This window comes from Homo sapiens, chromosome 9 (genome assembly GCF_000001405.40).
Source record: "Homo sapiens chromosome 9, GRCh38.p14 Primary Assembly".
Taxonomy (NCBI): domain Eukaryota; kingdom Metazoa; phylum Chordata; class Mammalia; order Primates; family Hominidae; genus Homo; species Homo sapiens.
In genome coordinates this window covers 36,847,227-36,861,202 of record NC_000009.12, presented here as the reverse complement: position 1 = coordinate 36,861,202, position 13,976 = coordinate 36,847,227, and the positions used below count along the sequence as shown (strand labels likewise).

General features: G+C 52.4%; 1 protein-coding gene across 13 annotated transcripts in view, besides 2 other annotated features; it reads left to right on the top strand.

Moving 5' to 3' along the window:
• Positions 1–13,976, top strand: part of PAX5 (paired box 5) — a 201,000-nt gene that overhangs the window by 173,066 nt on the left and 13,958 nt on the right. The window lies entirely within an intron of this gene.
• Positions 8,642–9,841: an enhancer, noted in NCBI's record as "CDK7 strongly-dependent group 2 enhancer chr9:36851359-36852558 (GRCh37/hg19 assembly coordinates)". NCBI's record gives its function as "activates an origin of replication core promoter dependent on BRD2, BRD4, P300/CBP, MED14 and CDK7 cofactors, with strong dependence on CDK7, by STARR-seq in HCT116 cells {active_cell/tissue: HCT116}" and the evidence as "EXISTENCE:reporter gene assay evidence [ECO:0000049][PMID:35650434]".
• Positions 12,346–13,185: an enhancer, noted in NCBI's record as "H3K4me1 hESC enhancer chr9:36848015-36848854 (GRCh37/hg19 assembly coordinates)". NCBI's record gives its function as "activates a minimal SCP1, AML or CMV promoter by ChIP-STARR-seq in primed H9 embryonic stem cells {active_cell/tissue: H9 hESC(primed)}" and the evidence as "EXISTENCE:reporter gene assay evidence [ECO:0000049][PMID:30033119]".

The following is a 13,976-nucleotide window of genomic DNA, read 5'->3' as shown; positions in this document are numbered from 1 at the left end:
TGCGACTGTCTGCAGTGGACCTGGTGTCAAGGCAGATGCCACCAGGGCTCCTCAGGACATCTCTGGGCCCCTCCCACTGAGCCCTGCATTTGCCCTCTTAGGTGGTTTCTTCACTTATCTTTCCTTGGCCTCCCAAGATATCTTTCCTCCCCTCCTCTTCCCTCCCCTCCCCTCCTGCTGACTCCCTCCCTGCAGAGCCATCTCTCAGCCAGGTGTGTGGGCTGGTCACAGGGGATACATATGAAAGTGTAAATCTCCTAGAAAAAAATGGGTCTTCATCAGCACAGGACTGCATGGGGCTCCTGCCTTCTGGTCCAGCCTTGGGAGCTGTGAGGGTCATCCTAATTCAGCTCCCTCCATGGAATGGCCCTGTCAAGCTCACTGAGTCATGGTGGCGGCTGCCTTGTGGCCTGCCTGGAGTCTCCCATAGAAGCCAGCCCTTCTCAGTGGTTAGCTTATGGTGGCTGCCTGCTTAGAAGCCAGTCTCCTTAGGGGCCCCATTTCAGAGGCCGTGGGAACTGGACACCAGCATGCCTCTGAGGACGCTAGCGAAACTCTTTAACAAGGATCAGTGCTTCTCAAGCTTTATTGCACCCAAATCATCAGGGATCATCTCAGAGAGCAGATTCTGCTTCATAGAGTTGAGGGTGGGTGCAGGAGGCTTGTCCTCTAACATGCTGCACACTGAGTACCGAGTCCCTGCCCCCTGTCTCTCAAACTTGCTGTACATTGGCGTCACCTTGGAAGTTTCGACAAATATTACCATCTGCCTCCCCCCGCTTACTCCGAGCTCCCTGTGAACTAGTATGAGATATGGCCTGGTCATCTGGATTTTTAAAGCTTCCCAGATGATTTTTTTTTCTTTTTTGAGACAGTCTTGCTCTGTCACCCAGGCTGGAGTGCAGTGGTGCAATCTTGGCTCACTGCAACTTCTGCCTCCTGGGTTCAAGTGATTCTCCTCCCTCAGCCTCCTGAGTAGCTGGGATTACAGGCATGTGCCACCACGCCCGGCTAATTTTTCTATTTTTAGTAGAGATAGGATTTCACCATGTTGGTCAGGCTGGTCTCGAACTCCTGACCTCGTGATCTACCCGCCTCAGCCTCCCAGAATGCTGGAATTACAGGTGTGAGCCACTATGCCCGGCCCCCAGATGATTTTTTTTTTTTTGAGACAGAGCCTCACTCTGTCACCCAGGCTTGAGTGCAGTGGCGTGATCTCAGCTAACTGCAAGCTCCACCTCCCGGGTTCACACCATTCTCCTGCCTCAGCCTCCTGAGTAGCTGGGACTACAGGTGCCCACCACCATGCCTGGCTAATTTTTTTGTATTTTTAGTAGAGGTGGGGTTTCACCGTGTTAGCCAGGATGGTCTCGATCTCCTGACCTCGTGATCCACCTACCTCGGCCTCCCAAAGTGCTGGGATTACAGGTGTGAACCACTACACCCAGCCCCAGATGATTCTTAATGTGCAGCAAGGCTTGACAGCCACTGGCCTGGGTCACTGCATTATTCCTGCCCGCCTCCACCTCCCCTCAGGGCAGCTTTGCTGTAGGAGAGCAGTAAAACTTACAGGAATTTGCGGACACAGTGAGGAAGGGTGAGGAGCCGGGGAGGGAGGAGGGGGCACATCCCACTCTCAGTCAGCCTTGGGAGAGAGAACCCCAAAGGAATGAATGTCGGGTGCAGACGCTGAAGGAGAGGGGCCACTGAGACCCTGAGGCTGGCAGGGGGAGGGAGGGAGAGGCCCTGGGAGCTTTTTCAGCCAGAGGAGTGACCAGGAGAGCCGAAGCAGCTGGGTGGTCCAGCCTGGGTCTTTGGCTTCTTCCTTGACCCTGACTCTGTTAGGAGAAATAACTCTCCCTTCCCTACTTCAGCCCGGCCCGGCTTTCATACCTGTACAAACACACTGGCCCCAGCCTCCCAGGGTTGCAAGTAATTTATGTGCGCGCCTGCCCCTCCCGCAGACTGTGGGCTCTCCGTGGGCAGGGACCGTGTCTGATTCATCTCCGCCTCTTCCAGCCCCAGGCCTGGCTTGCCGGGGGCAGGAAGGGTGTGCAGAATTGAGCGCGCTCCTCGGGGTGCAGGGGAAATCGGGGCCTCTGTGCTGCTGAGTTCTCAGCACACAGTGAACCCCGAGCGTCCTGGTAGTAATTGTGGAGGTAAATCTTGTCTGGTCTCCTCGCAGACACTTGGTGAGGCATTCCATAAATATGTCAGCAGAAGCATTAAAATTTGATGGCAGGCAGCGCAGGTCGGGACTAGCACTGCGACTTCCCAGCAAGGTATGACACCTTCACCCTCCGTCTCATTAGTCAGCGGCGGGACATTCAGGCCTCAGCGCTGAGCCCAGCAGAGCCAGGGGAGGTGATTTCTTCCAAGGAGGACCCCTGGCTGCTCTGAGGGACAGGCCAAGGTCTGGGCCGCAGGAAAGTAAGTCAGCTTTGGGCTGAGCGAAGGAGTTCCTGAAGGCCTTGGGAATGTGCCAGGAGGTTTGAGGGTCTCCAAGCTGGAGGGGGCTGGGCCATTTTTGGAGGCTGGGAGCCAGTAATAGAGGCTGGGGGCTGGTTTTAGCTTTCCAGTCAGTCTTGTGGAAATTATCTATTTGCCCAAACACAGAAAAAGCCTCATAGAACATTTTTAAAAGGTATGGGATTGGATTCATAATTTTAACAAGCAAAGAGTCATTTGGGCAGAAACTGGGGGGAGGAAAACTATTCCTTAGTGGCAGAAAGACTGGAAACCAATCTTGTCTGTTTCCCACCCTGCCATTGTCCATTTGGGGAAACTGAGGCTAAGTGAACCTGGAAGGGATGGGTAGAGACGGAAGATCAGGGACTTGGACTCCTAGTTTGAGGCTTTCCTTACAATCAAGAATTTTAGGCATTTGTTGAAATATGAGAAAAACATCCTGAAATATAATTTTGCTCAAAAAAAAGTCCCAATGTATCTGTTTTTGCAATAGACACACAAAGCATGTGCTGTGTGCCAAGGATTGAGCTAAGTATCAAATAGCTCCTCACATTTGTATAATACTTTTCAATTCACAAAGGACTTTGAAATGCATCAATATTTAGTCCTCTGAGTGTTGTAATTACCATACTGCAAATTAGGAACTCAGACTCAGAGATTCAGGAGACTTCTTCGAGGCTGCCCAGCTAAGTGGCTGCTGGGCTTTGGCCAGGACTGACTGGCTGCACACCCAGGGGCTTTCCACCACCTCCCAGTTACCAACATGGAGTGGCAGCCACTCCTGCCCTCAATGCCTGTGCAGAAAATCAGCGCTCCCCTTTCTACAATTATTTACAAAAACCATGACGTGGTTCAGAGCTGTCAGGAGCCTTGGGTTTATCGGCCAGTATCCTACATTCTCAGCTGCCTTGTTGGGGAGTTGAAAGCAAGGACAGTCGTGTCTTTGTGGCCCATTCCATGTCAGCACCGTGTGCGTCCTGCTTACTGGCCTCTTTCTTGAAAGAAAGTGAGGACTCCCTTCCCTGGGGACAGAGGCAGTACACTTTGACTCAACAATGCAGCCTGGGCTGGCAGGTGATGGGACAGATTTCGGTACCCACTAAATGACAACATTTGAATGTCCTCAAGCCCACATTGCAGCCACTTCTTACAGGAAGCTTTCCTGGATACCCTAGCTAGTATGAAGTTCCATTTCTACTCTGCTTCTGAATCCATCTTGCCTTTTGCTGGCACCCGAATGTCTAGTTTTGGGTCTAAGAATCCCCTTTAATGCAGGCAGTTCCCTGAGGATTGAAGCCTAGGCGCATTTCACTGAGTATGCCTTACTGGGGGCCTAGCTCTGAGCTCTGAATGGAGTAGGACCACAGTGGATGCTGAATTAAATGGAGTTACCAAAATACACAGCATCACCAGTATAGGAGTCTAAAAGTGAAACATAGTCCCCAAGTCAAAGCTTAAGATAAGTTTTCCCCAAATTTAGTATAGGAGGACAGTGAAGAACTTTAGAAACTTGGGGAGAGATGTTACTTTCTACCATGCCCTACCTTTTAAATCATTCATTCCAACTCTGAAGTTGCTCCAGGTAGACCCATGGGAAGTGTGTATGACTGCCTGAACAAACCCAGTTGAGGCTAGACACACGAGAACCTAGTGAGTTTATTTGACACTTATCATGAATACATGAGTTGGATTTTCCTGGGAATGTAGTTCAATGTTATTCCTACTCAACTCTGCAGAACCTGGGGCCAAGTGGGTTAGGCCCTGGGATGGGGGCTTCTGGCAACATTCTAGACGTTCAAAGAGACTCTTCGGGTTTCCAGGCCAAGCATCTGCCAGTGGCCAAATGGATGCAGAGAAAAGGTGCTAAGGACAAAACCTAGAGCCTTCCTATCTTTGTAATCCGGCTTCAGTCTGGTACTGCTCTTTTTTTGCTTCTCCCTTTAGAAAATTTGTGTATTTTCAAGGTCAGGAGATCAAGACCATCCTGGCTAACATGGTGAAACCCCATCTCTGCTAAAAATACAAAAAATTAGCCAGGTGTGGAGGCGTGAACCCGTAGTCCCAGCTGCTGAGGAGGCTGAGGCAGGAGAATGGCGTGAACCTGGGAGGCAGAGCTTGCAGTGAGCCGAGATTGCACCACTGCACTCCAGCCTGGGCGACAGGGCGAGACTCCGCCTAAAAAAAAAAAGAGGAAAAAAGAAAGACGAAAATTTGTGTCTCTTTATTTTAGCTTGTACTTTTGCACTCTTTTGAAGTGAGCCGAACTGAGTGCTGTCATTATGTGGCAGGGGAGGCCTACTGAGGCCTGCAGGTGGGAGCTAAGCCGCTCAGGAGAGCACCAGTGTCCCTTTTCACTCATGGGACCTGCACGGTGGTTTCTGCAGTAAACACAGCCCACTTCTCTTTGTGTGTTTTATTCCCTTTCTCTGCCTTGCTGTCTCCATGTTTCTAGCAAAGATCGGGACTGGTGTTTCACTAATTCTTTCCAGCATGGATTTCACGACCTTTTCTGTTCTGACTCTGAAAGGGGCTGGCTCAAGGAACATCTGCTGGGCACACTTAGTGCTCACTCAGTCTGCATTGGTATTGTGGGCAAGCCCTGTGCTGGGGGTGGGGCTGCAGGGACCTGTCAGTCACAGATGGTCAGCCTTGGTTCCTGCCATTGAGGAGAAGCCAGACCCAACAGCAGGGGAAACAAGACAGGGTCACAGACAGCCCTGAATCTGTGTGCCCTGGGACATGGGCAGTGATAGACCCAGGGCTGGGGACTCAGGGACCAGTGGGGGACTGCTCTCAGCTGGGATGATTAATCCAGAAAGCCTTCCTGGAGGAGGTGGTATTTGAGCTGGGTCTTGACAAATAGGAGAATTGGACATGAGGAAGGGAAGGAAGGTGGTGTTTGGGATGAAGGAAACAGCATGAGAGATGGAAACGGCCCCGTGGAGTAGGTGTGCAGAACAACTGGTGGTGTGGTTGGCCTGGAATATGGCTTGTGGCGGGTAGGGGTGGAGTGGAGGATGTGGGCAGTGGGAGGTGTGGCTGAGAAGCTCCATGGGAACCAGCCCCTGAAGGGCCTTGACCGCCACCAGGCGGCGTCTGGGGTGTTGATCTTCACAAAGTGCTACCTGTGGGCACTCCCAGCACAGGGCACTGCAGTACCCCCCTCCCCACCTCACGCATGCACACAAATCAGGTGTTATCTTGCACCCTAGTGAGGCTTCAGGGGGGTCATTTGTACATGCCCATTGTTTGCTTAGATGAGGGCAGGACAGGACAGAATTTTGGAATAGGACCACAGCAGCAGAATGGATTAAACTTGGACCAGTGTTGTTCAAAATGTGCCATGGCATAGCCAGGGATCTCAAATGGAAATGCCTGCAGGGGCCAGGCAGGTTACAGAAAGAAAGGTCAGCCTTGGAGGCAAGTACAACAGATCTAGATAGATGGAAGTCCTGTGGCTACTGATACTTGCCCCTTTCAAACACCAGGAGCCGATCAATTGTTTCCTCCTGGCCCCATGTGTCTCGAGGCCCCCAGCTCTTGCCTGTGATGGATGGCCAGCTGGTGGAGTCGGACCTGTGCCCTGTGGCAGAGGCACCGTGATGCCGCAGTGGAGTTTGTTTCCACTGAATTCCCTAGAGGATCCTTGGATTTGGGTTTTTGTAGTTGTAGACAACAGGAAGGGGACACAACAGCCTCTTCTTTACAGAGGATCACACTGAGGCCCAGAAAGGCCACTTGGCCACCGCACAGCTGGCAGGTGGCAGAGTCCTGGCCTCCACGCCAGGCTCCCTGGGGCTCACCCAGGCCTGCCGTCCAGCTGTGGGGTCCGCGGCTCTCGGGAGAAACAGAAGTGAGACACATTGTGCATTCTGCCCCTCATGCTCACCCTCTCTCTCGGTTTTTCTCTTCCCTCTGTTTTTCTGAAGGCCCTCGTGGCTGGCCTGAGCTGGTGGGAGAGAGGTTTTTCCCAGCAATGGATCGATGCACGGCTGTCGGGGCCGACAGGCTGACCTTTACTGAGCTCAGGTTTTCATCTCCCTGTTGGGAGCCCAGGAAGGTCTTGCTGTGGAGAGAGGAACGGTGAGAAGCCTTGGCCTGCGAGGGGGAGAGGCTTGGCGTGGGTGCAGTGAAGACAGCTTCTGAGAGCTGAAAGCCCTTGGAGGTCACTTATTTCAATTTCTTCCAAACACACCACTTTTACAGATGAGAAAACTGAGACTTGGTGAGAAATGACTTGTCCAAGGTCACTCTAAGAGGCTTTGACACAGCTCCAGAATCCAGTGTGTGTGTATGTGTGTGTGTACACATCCAACATACATACATCTGTATATTATAAATATTATACATATTATTACGTATACATACACAGATACATTATATGCATGTGTACGTGTATATCGGGAGTGTCTATACATGTGTATTATGAAAGCCTGGCTGTGGCTACGTGTGATGCCGTGCCTGCGCTCACTCTGGTCGTCAACAGTTTGGTCCCGCAACATCCCGGGTAGCCGCCGATCCCTGAGCCACCAGGCATTTCATGCAGTTCTGCAAAGCCATGGAGAGGAGCTGAAGAAACCTCATGGTCCTTTTCAAATCGTTTCTTCCTCCTCCTCCTCTGCAAAGATTTTCTCTAAGCCCAGTTTGAATCCTTCAGAAACAGAACTTGGCTGCGAAGTCACTTTGAAAGACTTTCCATATGTTAATTGCAGCCGGCCAAGGTCTGGAGCAGAGGTGGGAGCCCACCATCTGCAGACGGGGTCGGCCCCCAGTGCGCTCTGCAAATCCCCGTCATCTGGCAGGTGTCGTTTTGGGTTAATTAAGAGCTATACTGAGCCCGTTTACCTGTCACTTCTGAGAATTTTAGGAAACTTTGACTTTCTTGCCATCTCTGAGCTTTGAGCGAAGGGGAAGCTGAAAACACCTCTGAATCTGGTGATGTTTCTGCCTCTGGGATCTCCAGGACAGCTGCATTAAGTGCATCTTATCATAACCCCTTTTTAAACTTTTTATTTTAATCAGTGTTCTCTAGTTAGTGCATTGGTTTTTACAGTCACGTCTTCTATATTGGAAGACAGTACTGTTTGGGGGAAACCCACCATTTGTCTGAAATTTCTTAAGGCTCTGCTTTCTCTCTGTGTCTTTGAGGAAACAGCATACATTCCTCTAGCTTTGTTCTGTGTAATGGCTTTGGAGAAACTTTGAATTTGCAGGTCAGGGGCTCTTTCACCCATTGGGGTTTGGGGCTGTCAGTGCTAACCTCAGAGCTCTATGTTCATGGAGGGATGACTCAGTTACATCCCCAGATAGCTGGGTTCTCGGTTGGTCAATAGGCCCCCTTCTTCAGTATGAGAGAATTTTCTCTCTGTGCTGTTGACAATGTTCTATTAATATATCTTGGTAGGGGTTTGGGTCACACAGATCTATGCATTTGTCAAAACACAGCAATAGCACATTTAAGATTTGTGTGTTTCATTATGTGTAAATTTTGTATCCAAAGAAAAAACTAGTAAACAAGTAATGAACTTCAGTTAATTGTATGCATGCTGAAGTACTTAGGGGAAAGTGTACTGATGTTTGCATTTACTTGGAAATGAAATACACATTAAGGTGAAAGAAAGGCTAGAGGGATGAAGATCGATATGACAAGCAAGCATAAGAAAACATTGATGGTAGAATTAGGAGGTGGCTACATAGGTGTTCACTATAACATTCTTTCAACTTTGCTGTATGCTTGAAAAGTTTCAAATACATCAGGGGTGAAGAAGGATGTGATGAGAAGATTTCCCTTTCCTCTGCTGGCCCAGCTCAACGAGGTGTTCCTTGGGATGGTGGGATCCCTGGGGTCTGGGAATATAGGCCAGGGTCCCAGGCCCTGCTCTGTTCCTGACTGGCTAGAAGACCCTGGGGATGGAAAGGTTGAGGGAACGTATCTCTAAAGTTCATCCCAGGCCTGATCATCTGTGACTATGAGTGATGGCACAGGTTGGTAAGTTTCAACATAAGATGAATTTGTTGCGTGAAGGGAGGAAGAAGTGCATTGCTCGGGGTTAGGCAGAATGCCGGGAGGGACTGTCAGCCTTGAGATGCCCAGTGGGAAGCCACGTTCCTTCTGCCCCAGCCCGGGCTCCTCTGCTCCGCGTCCTCCTCACCAGGGTTATTGTGAGGGTGAGGTGCCATGGCCTCGGAGCTGCTCCTTGACTGCCAGCGTTCTGTTTCTAGTCTCGCCGTCATTTTTTTCCTCCGAAGGCTACCTTCCAGACAGTTCCCACGCAGCCCTCCCCTCCTGTCTACCTGGCCTCTGAGGGACTGCATGTGCTGGGCCTCTGCCAAGTCCCTTCTCCTTTCTGAGACTCAGTTTCCCAATCTGCGACACAAGGGCATGTTGAGTATGTGGATCTCACCAATCCCTTCCGGTTCTGTCACTTCCACAGCTCTGTATTTCTTTCTGTCACTGGGTTTCCTCTTCCCACCTGCCCAGGATCAAAGGGTGAAGGGGCAGGGGGAGGAGCTGGGATCAGAGGGCTTGGGTGGGGGCAGAATTTCTGAGTTTGTTCTCTCTCAATGAGAGAAGGTACCTAGTCCCCACCACACAGGGGTTTGCAAAGAGCATCTGCAAACGTGAAGTCATTTGATCTTCTCCATAAGCTTAACAAGTAGGGATTTTCCTTCCCTCCATTTTATAGATGAAGAAACTGAGACTCAACAGGTGAATGCATGTACCCAAAGCCACACAGCTTGGAAGAGGAAGAGCCGGCCTGGAGCTTGGGTCTGTGTGACTTCAAAGGCCATTTTCTGTCTTCTCCTCCAATGTGGGCAGCTCTGGGCAACAGCAGAGAGCAGAGCACACCTTGGGTGTGGCCTGGAGCATGGCCTAGAAGGGGACCAGCCCTCTGTTCTTAATTCTGTCAACAGCAGCTAGAGAAGGGGGATCAGAGAAGGGGGATCAGCCCGGATGCCCTGGAATCCCATCGTGGGCCATCTGCCTGCCCCTCCTCCCTGCCTTTGCTCATGCAGTTGCCTCCTCTGGCCCCACCATGCCTTTCTCTGATTCCAATAATCCCAACAGCTGGCCAGCATCACCTGGCACTTTGAAATCAAGGTAAAATTGATTCAAACCCTCATTTGCCACCTAGTGGGAAAATCCTATGTTCTCCTTAAGATTTCTGCCCCATTTCCAGGTGGAGGCTCACTTTCCCATGCTCACCTCAGGCTCAGGCTTCTCGGGACATTCTTCAGCCACTTTCTTTCATCTCAATCCCGCTGGCTCCTTCCTCTGATTTCCATGTGGGGAGAAAACACCAACCCGGCCATCCAAGGCATTTGAGTGTGAGTGAGCAGAAATGGCAGAGGTAGATTAAACACCCAACAGACAACTGAAAATGGGAACTTGGGCACCCCACTTCTTCAATGTTCTTCTACCCCCAGCCCCACCGAAAGCTATCAAATTACGTTTAGGGCCTCAGTTAGTTTTCAGAGGAGGCTCTTTCTTCTTCCATCTCCACCCAACATCCCCAGTCCCCTTGGCCTGGGGAAAAGGTAGTTTTGTTCTTCCAGTAACATTCTTTCACTTACTTCTTGCCAATCCTATGATGTAGGTGCTTTTATTTTGCCCATATTCAAGATGAGGAGGCTCTGCCTGGAAGGTTCAATCGCTTGCCCAAGGCCACAAAACCAGTGAGCAGATGGCCTGATGGCAGAGCGTGCTTTCAGCCCCGCCGCAGGAATGCCTGTGTCCACCACATGCCCACCTGCCTTCTGCCCCCACAGCACCATTTTGGGGCCCAGTTTACAGTGCCAACTGCAGGCCCAGTCCCATGAGGCTTTGGGTCCAGTCCTGTTTTCTCCCCGGGACTGCTTGCTCCTGGGGGAATGCCGATGGAGAAGTTGGAGGCACGTGTTTTGTTGTTGAAAGAGTTCTTAGGGGTTTCCATGTGACCAACTCCAGAGAGCGCCAGGAACCACCTCTGAGAATGGCCATGTGCTGTGTGTCTCCCAGAGGCGGGTCTCACTGCCCACTGAGGGACAGCCACTCCGATGTAAGCTGGCACCTACCAGAACTCACAGCAGCTTTTCTATGAATACGTAAAGAAAAGTTTCCCAATTCCAGGGGTTAGTATTTTTGAGAGATGCCAAAAGTGTGGGTCAGTTAGAAGGAGGCGAAGGGCCCGTGGTGTCCCTTGTGCTGGGCACGGTCATCTGAAAGGGGTTCATTGTGGGAACTTTGTCTTGGGCCTGTTGGCTGCACCTCCGGAGGCCGCAACAAAAGACAGAAGCAGGGGCTTTCATTTCCTTCCCCAAGAATGTCCTTCCTGCACATGAGGAACATCATTTTGTGCCTAAGGATGCCACTGCTGTGTCATCTCCCAGGTCCAGTCCCTCTTGCTTAGACTGTGGCCACAGCCACCTGGAGGGGCCCCCTGACTGCAAGCTGTCCTCCTCCAGCCTGTCCTCCAGATTCTGGCACTCACCAGTCTGAAGCCTTGGCTGATCCCAGCCCTAATGAGAGAAAAGCATTACACTCTTGCCCCACGCCTGCTCTGCCCTGCAGCTGCCTCTGCGGGGCCTCACGGAAGACCTGGCCATGCAGGGGCCACGTTCTGCCCAGCCCCACTGCCGGGCCTTTGCTTGTGCCTGGAATGCCCGCCTCTCTCTGCCATCAAAGTCCTACCCACCCTTCAAGTCCTGGTTCACGTGGTCGCTTCCACTCCCAGAAAGTGTTCCCAGGCCTTCTCTGGACTGTTGACTAAGGACCTAGCTTCTCCGGATCTCATGGGGTGAGGGCTCCCTACACTCAGACAGCTTCTTGTGTGGCACTTCAGATAATCAGACACCATCCCAGAGTCCCCAGCAGGTGGCTGAACCAGCCTCTAGGTCAGCCTCACGACCCGTACATGGTCAAACGCCCCTTACCCAGAGCGTATTGCTCTCATAGGGCAGGGGCCCCATGTTGGGGGTGCCCACCACACTACCACTCTTAGCACACCAGGCAAGCCAGTCCCTGGTAGGCTCATTTCTCCCACCAAGGGGCAGGATGGTGTGGTGGGCAATGGAATAGGAGAAATTGGTTTGGATCCTGGCACATAGCAGGTGTCCAACACACCCCTGGCTGTGGGTGCTAATAACGGAGGCCGTGAGAGCTGTCGCCTGAGTTAGAGAGTCTGCTCTGGAAGCGTGTGCCTGGTTGACCTAGGAGTCTCATTCGTTCATTCATTCATTCAACAAATAATTATTCCTGCCTACTAGAGGCCAGGCCCTGTGCTAGAGGTTGGGATCAACACGTGAACAGACAAAACTCCCTGCCCCCATGGAGCTTACATCCTAGTGGAAGAGGCAGATTATAATAAGATAAGCAGGATAAACAAGACAGGTTGGATTGTGATCAGCTCTATGGAGAAAAAAAAGCAGGAAAGAGAGATGGGGTGGAAGGAACTTCCCTTTTAAACACAGTGATCAGGGAAGGCTTCCCCATGCTACAGAGAGCTGGTGAGCAACCAGGAATTGTTCAGACACTCATTGTCTGCTGTGGACTGGGCACCAAGCTGGGGTGAGGGTGGCACACAGGTGCAGAGAGGAATCCAACGGACCTGCAGGGCCAAGCATGCCCACGTACAACGGATTCCCCTGCAGGTCAGGGCAAAGCCAGTGCTGCAGAACCACACGGGAGACTGGGATCGGAAGAGGAGGGGTGGGAGAGGGGCTTCCCAGAGGAAAAGGTAGCCAAGGACCTCTACATTCACCACTGTAAGGCTAGAAAGGTGGGGACAGGGTAGAGGATGGTGGGTGACACTGACTTAGGCACATCCTATGAAGGAATTGGGAGCTGTTTATGGCCCTTTGCAGGAGCCAAAGCCAATCTGGGGATGGATAATATGTCCACAATGAACTAACTCCAGCCAGATGGACCTGAGACTTGCACTTTGTGGGGCTGGAGATCTGGGAGGCTTCCTGGAAGAAGTGGCCTTGAAGCTGGGCCAGGCAGCAGAGGCGACGCTAAACAAAGATGCAGAGGTGGCCTCTGCCACAGTAGCCCAATGCCCTGGGCTCGGCATTGTCAAGAAGTGCCTCTGATAGGGCAGGTCCACGGGTGCTCAGAGTCCCGAGGGGAGGGCGCTGTCCCTGTTCTCCAGGCTGCGCTGTGTCTCTACTCCCCCACCTGAGGAGGAGGAGGCTCCGTGGTGCTGATGGATATGCCGGAGCCGGGCGGCTGCAGCCCACTGTCATCGGGCTCTCCCTCTGCATGCCAGAACCTGACACCCTGACCACTGAGGCATAAAAAACAGAGAATTGGAAGGCTCAGCCTGTCAGGCTGGGAGTGGCCCCCAGAGAGGCCCGAGGAGGAGCGCGAGCATGTGTGTGTGTGTGTGTGTGTGTGTGTGTGTGGACACGCTCTGCCTGTGGTTGTGAGGTGCGGGGGAAGCCAGCTAGACCTAGGAGGTGGGAGTGGCTGGCCCCTCAGTCCTGCCTCATTATTCCTGCCCCACCTGGCAGATCCCCAGGGGCCCACCTCTAGGCTTGGGTTGTAGGAGAGAGAGCAGGCTCTTGGTCCCGGGTTCTGGCTGGCCCGTTCTGGAATCTCTCACCCTTCGGCCCTTTGTAAGCATCCTTGTAGGGGATCGTGGAGGCAGGCTTGGGCCACGAGTGGGCTCATGGGGCTATGTAACTCCTGTCACCTCCAGTAGGGAAGGGCTCCCATGCTCTGTACCCAGCAGCAGCCAGCTTTCCATGCCCTGTTCCAGGGCCTCTACTGAATACAGTCTGCCGGGTACTGGGCACCTGGCGATGAGTCCAGGCTGAAGCCTACTCTTTGGGATCCCCTATAGCCATGGGGGAAGACAGGCAGGCCCTGCCAGCTACAAGACCAAGGCAGCAAGGTGGTAAGGGACAGAATTGTGAACTCTCCTCCTAGTGACCTGGCCAGTAGTAAAGAGGCTCTCCTGGGACGGGCACCCAGAGCCCAGGGAAGTGCCAGAGGCAGGTATTACTGCTCCATGAGCACCTGGCCTGAGTGAACCATGTTCGGGTCCCACCATGCCCCACAATGCTCATCACACCCTGGCACACCTCACAGCTCCTGCCCAAGCACGCCCACAGCTGCCAACAGCTGCCCCCTCCCCAGTGGCCAGAAGGCCCCAACCACTCCCTCTTCTGTGCTCCCCTAGCCCTTTGGCTTGTTGTTTCATTTCAGCACAGTTCTGTCTGCCTCCTCCAGGCAGAGGGCCTGGGTTTATGTCTCATCTCCCTGACGAGACTGAGGCCCCAGGGACAGCCACCCCTGCCTTCACAGCACAGAGGGCCAGGCTAGGGTTGAGGTTACCTTTGGCTTCTCTGTCCAGAGCCACTCATCAGCAGGTGGGGGGTAGAACTGAGCCCATTCTGGGGTCCTGGATTGGCTTCACTCAGGGATGAGAACCAAGCAGTCTGCAGCCTTGAACTTAGCAAGGTGTATCAAGACCATTTTGTGAGACGACCTGGGCATCAGCCTTCTCATATGTAAAATGAGCCAA